This window comes from Homo sapiens, chromosome 13 (assembly GCF_000001405.40).
Source record: "Homo sapiens chromosome 13, GRCh38.p14 Primary Assembly".
NCBI lineage: Eukaryota > Metazoa > Chordata > Mammalia > Primates > Hominidae > Homo > Homo sapiens.
In genome coordinates this window covers 41012173-41029842 of record NC_000013.11, presented here as the reverse complement: position 1 = coordinate 41029842, position 17670 = coordinate 41012173, and the positions used below count along the sequence as shown (strand labels likewise).

Genomic DNA, 17670 nt, shown 5'->3' with positions numbered 1-17670 from the left:
GTAACTGCAGTCTTTCCAGTTGCTGGAGAAGGAGGGCGCCCCAGCTCCAAGAAAGAGAGAATTCACCTTTCTATCCAGGTCCTTAGCCAATTGATGGTGCCCACCCACATTGGATGAGGGCAGATCTTCCTTATGGAGTCCACTGATTGAAATGCTTATCTCCCTGGGCACTTTGGCTCACGCCTGTAATCCTTGCACTTTGGGAGGCTGAGGCGGGTGGATCACTTGAGCCCAGGAGTTCAGGACCAGCCTGGGCAACATGGCAAAACCTCGTCTCTCCAGAAAACATAAAAATTAGCCAGGCATGGTGGTGCATGCCTGTAGTCCCAGCTACTCGGGAGGCTGAGGTGAGAGGATCACCTGAGCCTGGGAGGTTGAGGCTGTGATCAGGCCACTGCAGTCAGGCCTGGGCAAGAGATCAGGACTGTTTCAAAAAAAATAAAAAAGAAATGCCAGTCTCTCTGGAAACACCCTCATCCTCACAGACATACCCAAAAATAATACTATACCAGTTATCTGGGTACCTCTTAATTCAGTTAAGTTGACACCTGAAATTAACCATCACAGTTCCACCCCTTGTCAACTTGGCACCCATGTGGCACCCATGTGCACCTACTTAAACCATATTTAATCTCCGAATAGAGACAATTACGAAATTGTAGCTCTGCCTAAAATGATACAACTACCCTGCATACAATTGAAAATGCACTGATTTATCCTCAGAAGAGGAGGTAAAGCTCTTGAATGTTGTTCTCTTATGTCCCACAATTTAATTATATGATGTAAAATTAACAATACTTGGCCGGGCATGGTGGCTCACACCTGTAATCCCAGCACTTTGGGAGGCCGAGGCAGGCAGATTACGAGGTCAGGAGTTTGAGACCAGCCTGGCCAATATGGTGAAACCCCGTCTCTAAAAATACAATAATAAAAATGGAAAAATTAGCCGGGCATGGTGGTGTGCACTTGTAGTCCCAGCTACTCGGGAGGCTGAGGCTTAAGAATCGCTTGAACCTGGGAGGCAGAGGTTGCAGTGAACCAAGATTGCGCCACTTCACTCCAGCCTGGGCAACAGAGTGAGACTCTGTCTCAAAAAGATAAAAAATAAATTAGCAATACTTAAATACTGATATAAAGTAAATACATCTTATATTACATAGTAAAGGAATAAGAGGAAAGAACACAAAGATATTTGCTTTGTTATATCTATGTATATATACACACAAATGTATTCTGAACAAAATAGGGAGAATATAGTCATGACAGTTAAAATCCTCATTTCCCTAACTGGTCAGGTGGTTATAGCTGGCATTGATTACTGCCTTCTTGTACTACATATTCTGTATTCTGTTTGCCTTCAGCAAACGCCTTAGCTGGTCGTGGTTCTTTATTTGGTGGGGTGACCCAAAGCTTCATTCTTAAAGGGTCTGGGCTATTAGTAGACCTTCCTGGATTGGGTTGTTGTAGTTTCCCGTTGACTTATTTAAAGGGCATGATAATACAAAGAGATGCCCCAAGGGATCTCCTGTATTCCAGACATACTCTTCTTTATCTGCACTGTGAGTTAGTAGTCCAGCTTCCCATTCCTAGTTTAGATTAATCACCCCCAGCTATGTTGACTCAGAGGCATGAGGAGCCCAAAGTGGCTGGATGGTAGTTTTGACTCCAGTTCCATGGAATCATTATTGTGTTTCCTGGTGGAAGTATTCCTCTCTCTCTGGAACTAAGACTTCTAGGCCAAAAGAGCATAAAGTTACGGGAACAGGAAGTAAAAATTTTGCTTGTGGGTAATGGTGAGTAGTGCCATTCCTATTTGTATTCCTTAGTTCAGGAAACAAGGAATATTGACTCCTGGCTGTGGGAAAAACAGTACCATGTAGTGGATGCTAACTCAGAATGTGTACAGCCTTCTGGAGAACCTAGTGCTAGACCTGCAAGGTATTATCACCTAGCTGGCACTGTAACTGAATCTTCTAAGGGCCATTTCACCATCCTGTCAAGCTAGCTGCTTCAGGATGGCAGGGAACATGGTAAGACCAATGAATTCCATGAGCTTGAGCCCATTACCCCACTTTTGTGACTGAGATAAGTTCCATGGTCAGAAGCAATGCTGTGTAGAATGCCATGATGGTAGATAAGGCATTCTGTGAGTTCATGGATGGTAGTTTTGGGAGAAGCATTGTGTGCAGGAAAGGCAAATTTGTATCTAGAGTGTCTATTGCAGTAAGAACAAACTGCTGCCCCTTCTGTGATGGAAGCAGCCACCAGGTAGCTGGCGGATCACCCCAGGGAATGGTGCCATACTGGGGGCTCATTGCTGGTCTCTGCTGCTAGCAGATTGGGCACTCAGCAGTGGCCATACCCAGGTGAGCTGTAGTGAGTGGAAATCCATGTTGCTAAGCCCGTGAATAACCTCCATCCCTGCCACCATGTCCAGGATGAGCCCCCTGGGCAATGACAGGTGGCTGGGGAAAATGGCTGACTGGTATCCATAAAACAGGTCATGCTATCCACTTGATTATTAAAGCCCTCCTCTGCTGAGGTCACCCTTTGGTGAGCATTCACATAAGACAAATATCTTCACATCCTTTGCCCAGTTAGGAGAGATCTGTTCTGCCCCAAATTTCTTTGTCACCAATTTTCTGGTTATGTTCCTTCGAAGTCCCTGAGCATCCTGTGAAACCATTATCTATTGCCTATGCATTGACGTATAATCACACATCTGGCCATTTCTCCTTCACAGCAAAGTGCGTAACTGGGTGTGCTGCCCTAAGTTCTGCCTACTGGGAAGATTTCGTGACTGGGAAGATTTCATGACTGGATGTTCCAGAAAAAGGGCTGTAGCACTGCAGCTGTCCGCTTTTGGGTGGTGCTCGCATGTCGTGCAGAACCATCTGTAAACAAGGCTCTGTCAGCTGATTGTAGAATATTCCTCATGAGGCCAGAGGTACAATCTGGGTGAGAAAAGACAGTGTAGCACCAGGAACCATGGGCATTTGGGCCATTTCATGTAACTTGTGCCTTTAGGACCTACGCAGGCCCAATCACATATATGTTACCTCCACTTGATGATTTTAATGGTGCTATGCACGCCCAGCTTTGTGGCTTGGAGTGGGTCAGGTAACACCCACTTCCAAGTAGATTGCATGATAACTTGGTGGCCCGTGGTGAATGTTCAGTTTCTACTAAGGTCCAGTAGCAGGTCAAGAGCTGTCTCTCAAAAGGGAAGTATTATCTGCAGTTGATGGCAAGGTCTTGCTCCAAAATCCTACAGGCCTGTGCTGTGATTTACCTATAGAGAGAGGCCTGCCAACTGCTGATACCTCAAGTACCATTGGATCTGCTGGGTCATATGGCCCAAGTGGCAGAGCAGCTTGCAGAGCAGATTTGTTACAGATTTGTTACAGAGCCTTCTATTCTGGGCCCCCCTCAAAACTAGCAGCTTTTCTGGTCACTTGGTAATTGGGCCGGAGTAACACTCAAATGAGGAATGTGTTGCCTCCAAAATCTAAATAAAGGAGTTAAGTGTTGTGCCTTTTTCTTGGTAGTAGGAGGAGCCAGATGCAACAATTTATCCTTTACCCTAGAAGAGATACCATGACATGCCTCACACCAGTAGACCCCTAGACATTACACTGAAGTAGAAGGCCCTTGAATTTTAGTCAGATTTATTTCCCAACCTCTGACATGCTATGTGTTATCATTAAGCCTAGAGTAGTTGCTACTCGTTGCTCATTAGGTCCAATAAGCATAATGTCATTGATATAATGGACTAATATGTTACCTTGAGGGGAAAGGTGATCAAGATCCCTGTGAACATAGGTCTAGGGGGTTGATATATCCCTGAGTTAGGACAGTGAAGGTATTTTTGGCCTTGCCATTTGAAAGGAAACTGCTTCTGGTGGGCCTCATGGACAGGTATGGGGGAAAAAGGCATTTGCCAGATTGATAGCTGTATGTAACAGATACCAGGAGATCTGTTGAGGGTAAAGAATGAGCTCACATCTGGTACAGCAGCTGCAATCGGAGTCACCACTTGGTTAAGCTTATGATAATCCACCGTGATTCTCCTAGATTCATCTGTCTTCTGCACAGGCCGAATAGGGTTTATTTATCAGCAGTATGTCTCTTTTGTTTGCTGTCTAGCAAGGGGCTAGAACAGTACCTGGCACATAGTAAGTGCTGAGTAAATATTTGTTAAATGAATGACAAAGAGTCCCTCAAATCAGTCACTAACTTGACATTGGGAAGTCACTTTGTACAGACCTCTTATCTCTATTTTTAAAATGAGACTGGATTGGATTCGTGTTTTAAGCTGTCCTACAGTGAAGACTTAAATGTATGGAGTGTCAAGGTTCCTTGAAGCCTTTATAAAAATTCAGCTGCTTAAGTAAAAAGTTTAGAAACCACTGGACTGGATAAAGTGTCTCTAAGGTCTCTTTCAGTTCTGCGATAACCAGTTCTCACAGTAATTGTAAGTGGGGCTGTTGAGGAGATCCTTCTGTAGAGGAGGCATTGAAATTGAGACTTGATGGATGGATGTTCATAGGCAGAGGTCGGGCATAGGATAGGAAATAAGGTAAGTGCTTTTCAGGCCCAGGGAACAGTGATAAGGAAGTGAGACAAATAGGAATGGAGCAATTCAGGAAATTTCCGTACAGCTGTCAGGGGCTAGGGAGTGAGGGAGAGTCAGGAAGATAGGGCTGGAAAAGTTAGGGAAATTAAAGTCAGATTGTGAAAGCCTTGAACGCCATAATAGTCTGGCTTTTAATTTTGCCTCTAAGAAATCAGTTATTTTATTTCTTTTTGTTTTTTGGGCCATAAGTGATAATCATTTCACTCTCAGAGTTGTTCTTTAGGAAGACTTCTCTAATAGCAGAGTGATGGGTGAATTTAAAGTAGGCAGTTGGTGGTAGAGAAAGATTCTGTCAGTTAGGAGGAGACTGTGATGTTACTTTTCCTGTGATATGATGAGTACTTTTTTACCTGAAGAGTAGCAAAGGAGGAGCTTAAGTTTCACTTTAAACTCAGTATAAAAATTAGATTTCCTCTCTGCAACATTTAGAGATTATTGAATAGTAGGTTAACAAATGTCTTTGAGTGGCTGCTGTGTGAAGAGCAGTAACTACAGTAGATGCTAGGGCTACATAGAAACACAGCAATGGTGGCCATGTGTGGTTGTTCATGCCTGTAATCCAAGCACATTGGGAGGCCGAGGCAGGCGGATCGCTTGAGCTCAGGAGTTTGAGACCAGCCTTGGCAACATGGCAAAACCCTGCCTCTACAAAAAAATACAAAAATTAGCCAGACATACAAAATACAAAATTAGCCAGAAATACAAAAAAATACAAAAAATAACCACATTGTGGTGCATGCCTGTAGTCCCAGCTACTCAGGAGGCTGAGGTGGGAGGATCGCCTGGGAGGCAGAAATTGCTTTACGCTGAGGTGCCAAGGTCCTGCCACTGCACTCCAGCCTGGGTGACAGAGCAAAACTCTGTCTCAAAAAACAAAAACAGCCACCCCCCCCAAAACAAACAAACAAACAAACAAAAACAGCAGTGGTTCTCATAAGCCTGACCTCCACCTGCACTACTGAATCCATTTCCAGGAGTTGGCATGTGTCTTCATAAAGCTCCTTCAGGGGTACATTCCTGGTTACAGGCTACTGAAGTAAAAGATACATTATTTTTAATATTGAATTTAAAATTTAATTATGAGAGATAAAATATGTCTATACAAACAACTTGAGATTGCAGTCAGCATATTACCTGGGAGCTTTATAAAGAATATAATCATACCATCAATTCTTGGTTATTTTTAATATCAGAGGAAACAGTAATACCCAGAATAATACCTGCAATAGAACCTTGAATTTGTCTATATCAAGTCATAGGGGCCAAGTCATGTCTTTAAAGATATTTCAATGTTTACGAAAATCCTGATATGCTACATTTTTCCCCTCAGTGAGCAGTTTTAGGAAAGTCACTCATTCATGTCTCTGAATTTCTGCTGAGTTTTGGGCCTTGTCCTAGGTGATGGGAATATAGTGCAGACAAAAGCCATGGCCCCTTTTGCCTTTGATAAGCCCCTGAAAATACATAGACTGTTGCCTAAGAGGCCTGCTTTTTGTGGGTGGTAAAAAGTACCACCTAGTTACCTGTCCGTGCAGAAGTGGGAAAGAGGATTTGGTTTAACAAAGCTAGTGATAGAGCATAGAAAATTAACTGTGTTTTACGTTTAAGCTCACATGTAGAAATTCTACACAATTCTTGGAACCTGGGATTATATTTTTGAGAGGCATTAACATCAACAAAATAAATTCTGCATGATTGAAAGATTCATAACACTCAATCTCAGTCTTCTGAATTTTATTTTTCTATTTAAATAGTGGGGAACATTGATTTTGGTCATTTGCCATTTTAATGGTGTGATCTTTTCTTTTTCCATCTCTGATAGTCATAGCATGTTAGCTCCCGACCTATGGGGCGGATTCAAACAAAGCTTTTTTTAGCCTAAGTTTCCTAGATATGGAAATTAGAGTATTCTGTATTTTTGTACTAGAAGTTTTGAGATTTGAGTTCAAAGGGAAGAGGTAACAGTAAAAAGGAAAAATGAGCCCTAGCACAATAAATTCTTTTTATAAATTCTGTTTTGGTGGAGGAAATAAATAGTATCTGAAATTTAGTTGGCATTTAAATTCATTCAGTTGACTCAATCTCTCTCAGCTAATAGTTCAAATATACATGTTGACAATTCCATGAGCAGCCATGAAAGCTTTATATAAGGTATATACTGACTTGATCCATATCTAATTTTATAAATAAACATACCCACAGTATGTACATTTCATATACCTAAACTAGATTTATTTCTTCCTTCCTCCCTTCCTCCCTTCCTTTCTTTCTTTCTGTTCTGGGGTACATGTGCAGAACTTGGATATTTGTTACAAAATGTGGAGGTCTGACACAGAGTCTTGCTTGGTCACCCAGGCTGGAGTGCAGTGGTGCAACCTCGGCTCACTGCAACCTCCACCTCCCAGGTTCAAGCGATTCTCCTGCCTCAGCCTCCTGAGTAGCTGAGATTACAGGTGTCTGCCACCACACCTGGCTAATATCCGTATTTTTAGTAGAGACGGTTTCACCATGTTGGCCAGCCTGGTCTCGAACTCCTGAACTTCAGTGATCCACCTGCCTTGGCCTCCCAAAGTGCTGGGATTACAAGCGTGAGCCAACGTGCCTGGCCTAGATTTCTTTTTGTTAAAATCAGTTTTATTGAGGTATGGTTTATATGCAGTACAATTTGCCCTATTTAGTTTTATAGCTCTATGAATTTTGACAATGTACATAAGTCATATACCGGTACCACAGTCAAGATACAGAATATTTCTGTCACCCTCAACAGTTCCTTGTCTTCCTTTGTAGTCAACCCCCTCCCCTCATTTCCAGCCCCTAGAACTGATAGGATTTCTGTGCCTTCTGTTTTGCCTTTTCCATTATGTCACATATAAATGGAATCATACAGAGTCATGGAGTCAGTCTTATTTTGTTCAGCCTAATGCTTTTAGGTTCATCCATGTTGTCACATATATCAGAAATTCAGACCTTTTTTGTTGCTGAGTAGCATTCCATTATATGGATATACTATACCATTCCATTACATGGATTTATCCATTCACACATTGATGGACATTATTTGGGTTTTCAATATTTGGTGAATGATAAAACTGCTATATATATTTGCATAGAAGTTTTAAAATAGACACATATCTTCATTTCTCTTGGGTAAATGCCTAGGAATGGGATTACTGGATCATGTGATAAGTGTATGTTTATAGAAACTGCTAAACTATCTTCCGAAGTGGCTAAACTTTTGCATTCCCACCAGCAATATATGAGAGTTGTAGTCGCTCCATGTTCTCATCAACACTTGGTATTATTGGTGGTTTTTGTTTTGTTTTGTTGTGGTGGTGTCACATTAATTTGCATTTCCCTATTGAGTATTGATGTTGAGATATTTTCATGTACTTTTTTTGCCATCTGTATGACTTCTTTAGTGAAGTGTCTATTCAGATTTGACCATTTAAAAAACTGGATTGTTTTCCTATTTTTGAGTTGTGAAAGTGCTTTATGTAGTCTGGATAGCAGTGTGTGGACTTATTTTAATCCTCATAATCTGTGTGGTAGATACTATTAGGCTAAATGATAGATAAATAAGTTATGATGCAGGATTGTTAAGTAATTGCCCAAGATTACATAGCTAATAGGTAGCAGAGCTGGGATTGAAACCCAAGTAGATTGACTAGAACCTGTGTCAAACTGTTTGCCTTTTTTTTTCTCTTTGATCCTCTCATATGCAGAGATTGACTTATTGGGGCTGTAAATAGAACAAGGATCCAGTTCCTGTAGGTGATAGAATAATGCTAATAGGGATACCCCTGGGCAGAGGGATAATATATTGTAATGGCAGCTCTGGAGTCATCTCCTTAGGAACAGCTAAGATATTTGTTTCTGTTGAAGAGGTGTAATTATTTTCCCTTTAATTCTCTTCACATTACTGGTGGCCAGAGTACTTCCTTTAAATTATGTTTGGAATATTTGCCATTATTAAGTAATGAGGTGCATTATATAAATGGATTTTCTCAATAGCAGAAGCTTATCCTTTTAGATACCTGTTCTACATAAAACATCTCACACACTTGATGTTACACACTTTGGCTTTCGAAGGCCTGTCTTAAACTAATGCTGACTTGGAGACACTTAGTGTATGGTAATATACTTAGGGAATATTACAACTTACTGACCTTATATAATGGCTTCATATCTGAATACTTTTAAAGTTATGTTTATTTTTAGTTTTGTAAGGTGGGTTTTTTTAATGTCATTATCAGCTATTTCACTTTTTCTGACATCCTTTTATAATACTGTTGCCCTCTTTTACCTGTTACAGTTTTTATTTCTAATTAGCCAAAAGAAGATAATCAAATTGTTAGGTTTACATTCATGTTATCTAAAATAAATTTCAGATATGGAAAATTACCTGGGGGGAACTTTCCAGGGAACAAGTGAATCTCCCGTGACTGCTCAGCGGACCTTGTTTCTTGGTGCATGGGCTCTGAATAGTCATTTTGTGTAAGTGAACTAAAGTAAGCTAAATATGACATTTGACAGGAGAAAACATGGTCTATATTTCTTTTTAATAAATTTTTAATTAACAGTTTGTAAAACCATGGAGATTATTTTTCAGTAAAAGGATAAACCAAGCAATCTTCAGTGTAAGGAATAAATAGACAGCAGGCAGAAAGTTGGTTCACAATCATTGCTGTTTTGCAGCATTTTGTAAAGTTCCTAAGTCAGTGACAGCTTGTGCTCTCAACTATGCCTCTGGTAAGCCAGAATAAACTCCCAACTAATTAACTAAAGGGAGAAAACCTTGCTAAATCCTATTTACTTTTTGTAAGATACCAGGACGAAGGCTATCTATTGAGTTGCATTTATCATTTCAAGCGCTTTGGAAGTACTTAGTGCTTTCAAGCCATTTTGATTAATTTAAGCTCTTAGAATAAATTAATAAGTATTCACCCAGAGGCCAGAATAAGTAGGTGTAGTAATATTTCAGTGGCTTGGGCACTTTGTCAGATGTATTCTGACTTGGAAGGCAGAGCTTCACTGGCCACAGTTGTCCCCTTAGGTTGGCCTTGCCACAATTGCAGTGGAGCTGTAGCAGGGTGCCTGGCACAAGAGGCTTGAAATACATGTAGAAAATTTTGCTTGAAAGGTAAGTCAAACTGTAGCTATCATTTGGAAGTAGTAGAGTTATGAACTATGATCGTACCAATACTTTTTTAAAAGGGTTTTATCAAGCTTGCAGTTTATTTAAAATCATTTTGCTTTGTTGGACTTTAAATTCCTAACATTGGAGTGTGGGTTTTTAAAAATTCTGTAAACCAGTTTAATTCACACTTATTTTTCCACTGAACTTTGAATTTTCTAGTGGATTTTATCTGTTTAGTGAACTTACAGATCTGCATCTGGCTTTGTAGTTTGCTAGCCTTTCCAGACTACATAGCAATATATCTCTTTCATATGAGGGTTAATGAGTAGCCAGATTACACTCACCAGTCCATTGTTACATTAAGAGCCACAGAGTTTGCTATCTCCCTTCCATCCCCTTTCATACTTTTTTCCTTTCACAGTTTTATTTGATATAGTAAAGCAACTTTTAAAAATTGAGATTTTTATATTTTAAAACAATATATAGTTTTTAATTTTGCTCCCTTGTAGGTTCTTACTCTATTTTATTGTTAGTTTTAAATTATGGCAATTAATATGAGCTTAGTAATGGTCTAATCAAGGTAGATCTTGCTCCTTGCCTCTTCATCCCCACTTTCCTATACCGTTTTTACCTGCAGATTTGCATGTTTGACCTAGCAGAATAATTGGGTCCACAGCAACATGGGCGTGCCTCCCTTAGAAACACTTGGTTTCATGTATGACTCATAAGCTGAAGCACAGACACCACTTCCCCAATCTACAGGAGCCATTTTAACAGCTAAAACTTGTCGGATTGCTTTTTATTTTCAAGCTCAAAAGACGATAGAGAAAGAATACTTGAAGGTAACTTGTTACAATTTTGTATGTTTGCTTCTGGCTTTTTCTTGAGCTGATAAACAGAGGGTGGTTCTTACCTGTTGAAGAACATGGCTGAATGTGTTCTTTAACCCTCTGATAAAATGTGTGTGGTCAGTCACATGCCTGATTGAACTTAATTGCTAGGGGGAAACAAAGCACTGAAATTCTGGAAAGTTTTAGATCTTCTTGCTAAAGCATTTTGTATGTCTTTGTGATTTTTTTTCTATGTAATTTAAGAATAAAAGAGGTTTTTTGTTTGTTTATTTGTTTTTAAGTACCACAAAGCAAACTAAGGTCAAATTTTAATTTAAAAAACCTAATTGTATTTTTTGGGGTAGTTGAAGTTACAGTTAAGTAAACCGTATTATTCCTGTGTGATATAGATGTTAAATATCCAGGGGCAGTGGCTTTGTTTTGGCATTTTAGCTAAGGGTGAAGTTTTGGGACAACTCAGCCATAGGTGTTGCTCATTGACTGTTATTTATTTATTTTTTTCTCCCTCTCTGTTTTTTAAAGTTAATGAAATTATATTAAATGTTTCATTTTGGAAACCCAATGGAAATTTAAATGAATTGTTATTTAGATAATAAGTAAAAATGAATATTAGATTATTTAGATAACAAGTAAAAGTGAATATTAAATAGAGGAAGAAAGACTAGAATGATTCATTTACTATTAGAAAAAAATGAAGTTTTATAATTCACACTGAAAACTTGTTCTGAGTAACAACCTTAGAAGTAAAGCTGTCTTCTAAGGAAACGTAGTTATTTCAATTTTGTGTAAAAAGAAAAAGTGATGAGTATTGGCCTTCCTTTTGTATTACTGTTCTTAAAATTTGCCTGCCTTGAATTAAAAACCTTCTGTAAATGAAAAGATTGCTCAGTCTTTTCCTGAAGTACTTGTCATTGTAGTTATGAGATTTTGGCTGGCAAGTATACATCCTACTGTGCCTTAAAGTTCTAGGTGCTCTGTAAAGATGAGTGCAGTAGTATTTTATTTCTGAAACATATTTATGAAGATAAAATTGGAATATGCAGTGATTCCAAAAAATAAAGTTTTTGGATATAAAACTTGCCAAATCATTTCTTGTTGACCAAAATGATATTTAGCTAGTTCTTTGAGAATTTGCTATGCACTTACTAAGTGCTTGAAGGCCTGTCAGATTAAAGGGAAGAGACAAAGGCAATCAGTTATTATTTCTTACTCTTTTGTAAGGATTGTTGATATTAACAGATCTCAATTTTGCGGTCTTACAAGAAAGACACAGCGGACATTTTACCAATTCAGCTGAGCCATTTGCTATCATCTTTGTTTGCATATTGCTGGTTTAGTCAGCCTTTGAGTAAGCAAAAGCTGTATTTACTTCTAGTCTGGTCTGTGTGAAAAATCTAATGAAGACTTTTCTATTTTTTTTTTTAACTTTTTTAAGGTGGTGATCCATAAGAGAAAAATCAAGAGGCACACAAATAAGCGGCATAATTAAGATCTTATTTATTAAAGAGAAGTAGAGGAATTTGGTTTCTTAAATTTAAGAAGCTGGTACAGTTAAAGTAGTATAGATATTGTTTATGTATTTTCTTACGTGATAGAGACTGAAGTGGAGTTTCAAGGAGAAGGGAGAAGGGGGGGTAAAAAGAAGAGAACCAAGAAAAGACCAGAACAATTTATTAAGTATTTCCCTCTCCACGTTTTTCCTTCCATAAGATTGAATGTAAGTTTGAACTGACCCATCAGAATTAAATTTAGAATTAGTGATTTATAGAACTTTAGTGCTGAAAGTGACTGAAGATTGTCCAACTGCCTCACTTTTATAGATGAAGAAACAGTGGCCCACAGAGGTCCTGTGATTTGCTTGAGGTCATGCAGTACCTAATGGCAGGGCTTCGCAGTCTGGAACTGCTTGTGCCAGTCACAAGTGATGCTTTGTTTGAAATGCTCTATATTTCCTTAAGAGTAAATAAAACCTTAATTAAGATGTTTGGTGATAATCTTGGTGATAAGTTGCAACCAAATGGATCAACCAATGATTTTGAAAATGTAGTTTTCTTTTTCATCAGAAAGATGATGCATTCATTTTATTTCTACAACAACTTTTTGTTTTTCACTGTTAGAATTTTTTTGTTCATGACTGCTTATTTTAAGATGGCTTTAGATGGAAATATGAAGAGGTGGGAATTAAATTTGAGCTTCTAGATACAAAGACAGTTTTATTTCTGCTTTAGTTTTAGCTCATATATATATATATATATATATATATATATATATTTTTTTTTTTTTTTTTTTTTTTTTTTTTTTTTTGAGACGGAGTTTCACTCTTGTTGCCCATGCTGGAGTGCAATGGTGCAATCTCGGCTCACTGCAACTTCCGTCTCCCGGGTTCAAGCAATTCTCCTGCCTCAGCCTCCCAAGTAGCTGGGATTACAGGCATGCGCCACCACGCCCAGCTAATTTTGTATTTTTAGTAGAGACAGGGTTTCTCCATGTTGGTTAGGCTGGTCCTGAACTCCCGACCTTGGGTGATCCGCTCACCTCGGCCTCCCAAAGTCCTGTGATTACAGGCACAAGCCACCGTGCCCATCCTTGCCTCATATTCTTTTAGGAGGGCAAATATTGTTTAATGTGATACCTTGTTATACTAAAATATGTGTATGTGTAAAACTTTGCATGTGACTTTACAAAATCCAGAGGTGTCTAAGCTTTAACATTACACTTATCTTAAATTTGACCTTATTATAAGATAGTAATCTCATTTTATTTATCTTTGTCACATCTTCTCCTCCTCCTTTGAAATAAGAGAATTGTTTGGTATATACAAAATCTTTTGTCTGTTAACTTTTTGGTGTGTTTTATTGGGGTGGTTGGAAATTCTCTAGGTCTGAAATTCAGATTTTTAATGGTTTATGCATAACTGCTGAATCTCCTAAATTTCTGAGTGCCCTAACTCAATTCGGTGCGAAATCGTCCACAGTGTGGCCATCATTGTCCTAAAAAACAAAAAGCACAAAAGGCTAGGAACATGGGCTTTATCTTCATAAACTTAAATTCCTGTTGGGAAAACAGGGCTTGTTAACAAGTGAAGTAAAGAACAGAACCAACCACTGACTAGGTAAATTCAGATTCAGATTGCCTAGAGATAAAAGATGACTGAAAGAATACTCAGGAGAGTTTATCTTGAAGGAATGATGAATGCTGAACGTTGAATAGCATTTACCTATGTTAAGAAGAGTGTCTTCGTCAATAAGAATAAGAATATACGCTGTTTGAGAGGAGAAAGGTTTTATTCTGTTTTTCTGTCTTTTTCAACCTTTGACAAAGTACCAAGCACATATGAGTAGACAGGTATTATTTGTTGTATTAAACCTTTGGCTACTCTTTTTTGCCATCTTACGTGACAAATTCAGTTGGCCATCTTGCTGAAGTTAAAGATGGCACATCTTTAAAAAGCATGTGGCCCTCAGCTTAATCTCTGACTGGTGTCTGCATGTTGTAGGTAATACTATGATAGTATTACCTTTAAAGCTGTAATTGTCAACCTTTGGTGTAACAAAGAATCACCCAGTTTTAACTCAGAAATTCTGATTCATTAGGCGTAGGATTTGCTTAAACAATCAGCATTTTTTACTGTGTACCCTAAATGATTATGACATAGGTGCTTATATGCCACATTTTCAGAAAGAGAGTTTACAGGTTTAAGGCTATGAAGAGGAATTAGCTATTTTGCCTTTAAATATTTGAAGTTTTAGGCAGCAATGCTATTTTGAAGCCCATAGCCTCTAGTAAGGAAGGAAAGCAACTAGAGTACTTTATTATCAGTATTAGAACCCATTTGGGCTCCTTTCCCATCCCAGTTATCCCTTTCTCTAGTCTGTTTTTTTTTGCTGTGCTATATGTTGTTCAACTATGTGGCTATCCGTCTTTCCTTTTCTCTGATCCACCCCCGAAACCTACTGCCATATTGGCCATAATAAATAATCTTTGTTTTTTAATGTAATTAACCTATTTTTTATTTCTCAGTGAACTCTTCCAGTGTTAGTTGTTTTGGTTCCAATTGTTGCTTCTTGGTTTCCCTCTCCATACTCTTACTCCTGGGGCTTTAGGAAAAACACCCCCTTACTGATTTAGGGTGGCATTTACAGCCTTTTGAAAGCTCTTCTCTCTTGAGAAATACACTATTATTATTTGTAATATTTTTGTTTTCTTTCTTTTTTTGGGGGGAGGGCAGGGGTGACTTAAAGACTAGCACAATAGTATGTACTTGTTTGAGTCTGGGAGGAAGTAACTTTTTTTTTAACCCTGTAATGCTTGGATATGATTTTTGAAGCTTCTTCAGATATTTAACTGCATCTTTGATTGCATATTTGTAGGTTTTGCCTAACATTACATCTCATCTAATGGGACATTGTTAGGTATTCACTGACTTGGATAAATGAGAAGAAAATTCCCCTCATTTGAATTGTTTGAAGATAATCATTGCTTCCATAAATTAGCCAGACTATTTTGCTCCTTTACTTAGGAGCTGCTTCATATAAATGGTTGAAATTAAGTTAGTACCATTATTGAGTCAACTCCAATGATTAGGACAGTTTCCAACTATCTGAACAATCTTCCTTCCATTAGTATGGAGAACCTACAAAAGAGTTTTTTGTGTCTTGTCAAATGAGCTGTATACTATAATAAAAGTGGCTGTTGAGCAGTACTACAAATGTCTTTTCTGGTCATGGTTCTAAGCACCTTAAGTTATTATATGAGGAAAATAACTCATTGTGTGCTATTTGCTTTGTTGACAGAGAGGGAGAAATTATGCAGCTGAGCTTTGGATATACAAATTTCTATGCAGAAATGTTTTGATTCCTTCTCTTCCAGGTATTAACATCATCCTCATTGTCAGAGCCCTCTTGCCTTCTATAGTTTGTATGAAGATTGGTTTAACAATTTTTATATTAAAAGCTATCAAAGTGATATATGCACACCATTCAAAATTTAATTCATAGGTCTATAATGAAAAGGAGCCTGCCTCCTCTGCCCCTTCTGACTCTCAGTCCTGCTGTCCAAAGGTAACCACTTAGAGAAGTTGTTTTTATTTTTTAAGTTTGTGTTTTCATGTGATTTGTCCTCGTCCTGTGTTCTACTCTATATATTAGAAGCTCTTCAAAGTAGCAGGCACCAGTATGACTTTACATGCTGCAGTATCTACGTGATAGATGCCCAGTCATATAGTGATCATTATGTCTGGGCTGTTACATGGTACAATTTTAAAAATATAAATATAATTAAAGAAAATTAGTTTCTGGGTTTAGAAAACAATCCCATAAATAGTAAAACTATAAAATTTTATAATAAAACTATTAAAATGAAGTGTAACAATTTATGTACATCTTATTTTTTATATCAAAATACTAAATGGAAGTTTAGTATTGTAATGGGGCAATTCATTATTTTTTCTTTAAAAATGAAATGTGCATGTAGGAAAATATATATAAAACATAGAGTTTAAATAAAATTATAAAGTGTTACAACATGGGTAAATATTTTGTATTTTATTTAAACAGTTTTGCCTCATATTTATAAGTATCTTGAGAAACAACCCATGTTAAGAAATATAGAGTATGTCTATTACCCTAGAAGGCCCCCACTCCTATTCATGTTTGTTTCCTTTAAAAAATAACTACTATGCTGACTTTTGCGATAATCTTTTCTTTATAGTTTTACCTCTTTGAACTTTATACACATGAATCACACCATATATTCTGTAGTGACTTTGCTTCTTTCATTCAGCTTTGTGACTTATGTTACTTTTCGTTGCAATATAGTATTCCATTGTTTGTCTGTACCAGAATGTATTTATTCTCTCTTGTTGATGGCATTAGATTATTTTGAGCTTGGGAACACTTGTACATGGTTCCCCGGGACATAAATGTAGAAGTTCTGTAGAGCAGTATCTTCACATTGAGGGATGTGAAGGCTTTGCAGAGTATAGATAGTTTAATGTAATTTAGAGTTCTTCATTATCTTTCCTAGGATCAGATATCTGCCGATGATGACTTCTAACCCATTCAGAATCTTTCTATGGTATATTGCCCTGGGGTGTAAAATCCTCCAGGACCCTAAACAGATGGACAGTTGATGCATTTCAGGGTAAGCTGTAGACAACAATATATTTGACCCCTGAAACAATTCAGTATGCTTGTCATTTGTTAACTAGAGTTATTTCAAACATAATTTTGAATAAAAAATAAATTTTAATAAATACATGTTCCCAATTATGCATATAAAAGCAATCCTACTATCTTGATATATATGTAGTAAAGTTATAAAAATATATAACAGAGAAGATACCAATTTTAGAATAGTTGACAAGTGGGCACTGTAGCTTATGCCTATAATTTGAGCACTTTGGAAAGCCTAAGTGGGAGGATCACTTGAGGCCAGAAATTCGAGACCAGCCTGGGCAACATAGCAAGACCCTGTCTCTACAAGTAGAAAAAAAAAATTTTTTTTTAAGTTAGCCAGGTGTGGTGTCACACTCCTGTAGCTCCAGCTACTCGAGAAGCTGAGGCAGGAGGATTGCTTGAGCCCAGGAGTTAATGCTACAGTGAAATATGATTGCACCACTGCACTTCAGCCTGAGTGACAAAACAAGAATCTGTCTCTTAAAAAAAAAAAAAAAGAAAAGAAAAGAAAAAAAAATCAAACTTAGAATAGTCAAAGAAGGAATAAAATGAGACTGGAGAGGGATATTAGAGGAAGCTTTAACTGTAGATGACCTTTTTTTCTTAAAAACAAAACAGAAAAACAAAAACAAACAAACTATGGTAAAATATAAAGCTAGGTGGTAGATAGATGAATCCTCTTTGGTTTAACTGTTTCATAATACTCTTTTTTTTTTTTTTTTTTTTTTTTGAGACAGAGTCTTGCTCTGTCGCTCAGGCTGGAGTGGAGTGGCACAATCTCGGCTCTCTGCAACCTCTGGCTCCTGGGTTCAAGTGATTCTGCTGCCTCGGCCTCCGAAGTAGCTGAGATTACAGGTGCCCACCATGGCG

General features: G+C 37.9%; 1 protein-coding gene across 11 annotated transcripts in view, besides 1 other annotated feature; it reads left to right on the top strand.

The window, feature by feature from the left end:
• ELF1 (E74 like ETS transcription factor 1) overlaps nucleotides 1-17670 on the top strand; it is a 129468-nt gene that overhangs the window by 31544 nt on the left and 80254 nt on the right. Inside the window, exons 1-4 of one of the 11 annotated variants that reach the window (XM_047430122.1) lie at nucleotides 10527-10615; nucleotides 15418-15493; nucleotides 15622-15684; nucleotides 16649-16765. The exons of 2 other annotated variants lie outside the window; for them this stretch is intronic. The gene's annotated coding sequence lies outside the window, so the exon portion shown is untranslated. Of the gene's footprint in view, nucleotides 1-10410; nucleotides 10616-15417; nucleotides 15685-16648; nucleotides 16766-17670 lie in introns of those variants that run through there. 8 more of the 11 variants (XM_047430119.1, NM_001370332.1, XM_047430124.1 and 5 more) reach the window with 8 other exon arrangements.
• Nucleotides 10533-10642: an enhancer, noted in NCBI's record as "active region_7623". NCBI's record gives its function as "activates an Ori minimal core promoter by ATAC-STARR-seq in GM12878 lymphoblastoid cells {active_cell/tissue: GM12878}" and the evidence as "EXISTENCE:reporter gene assay evidence [ECO:0000049][PMID:35858748]".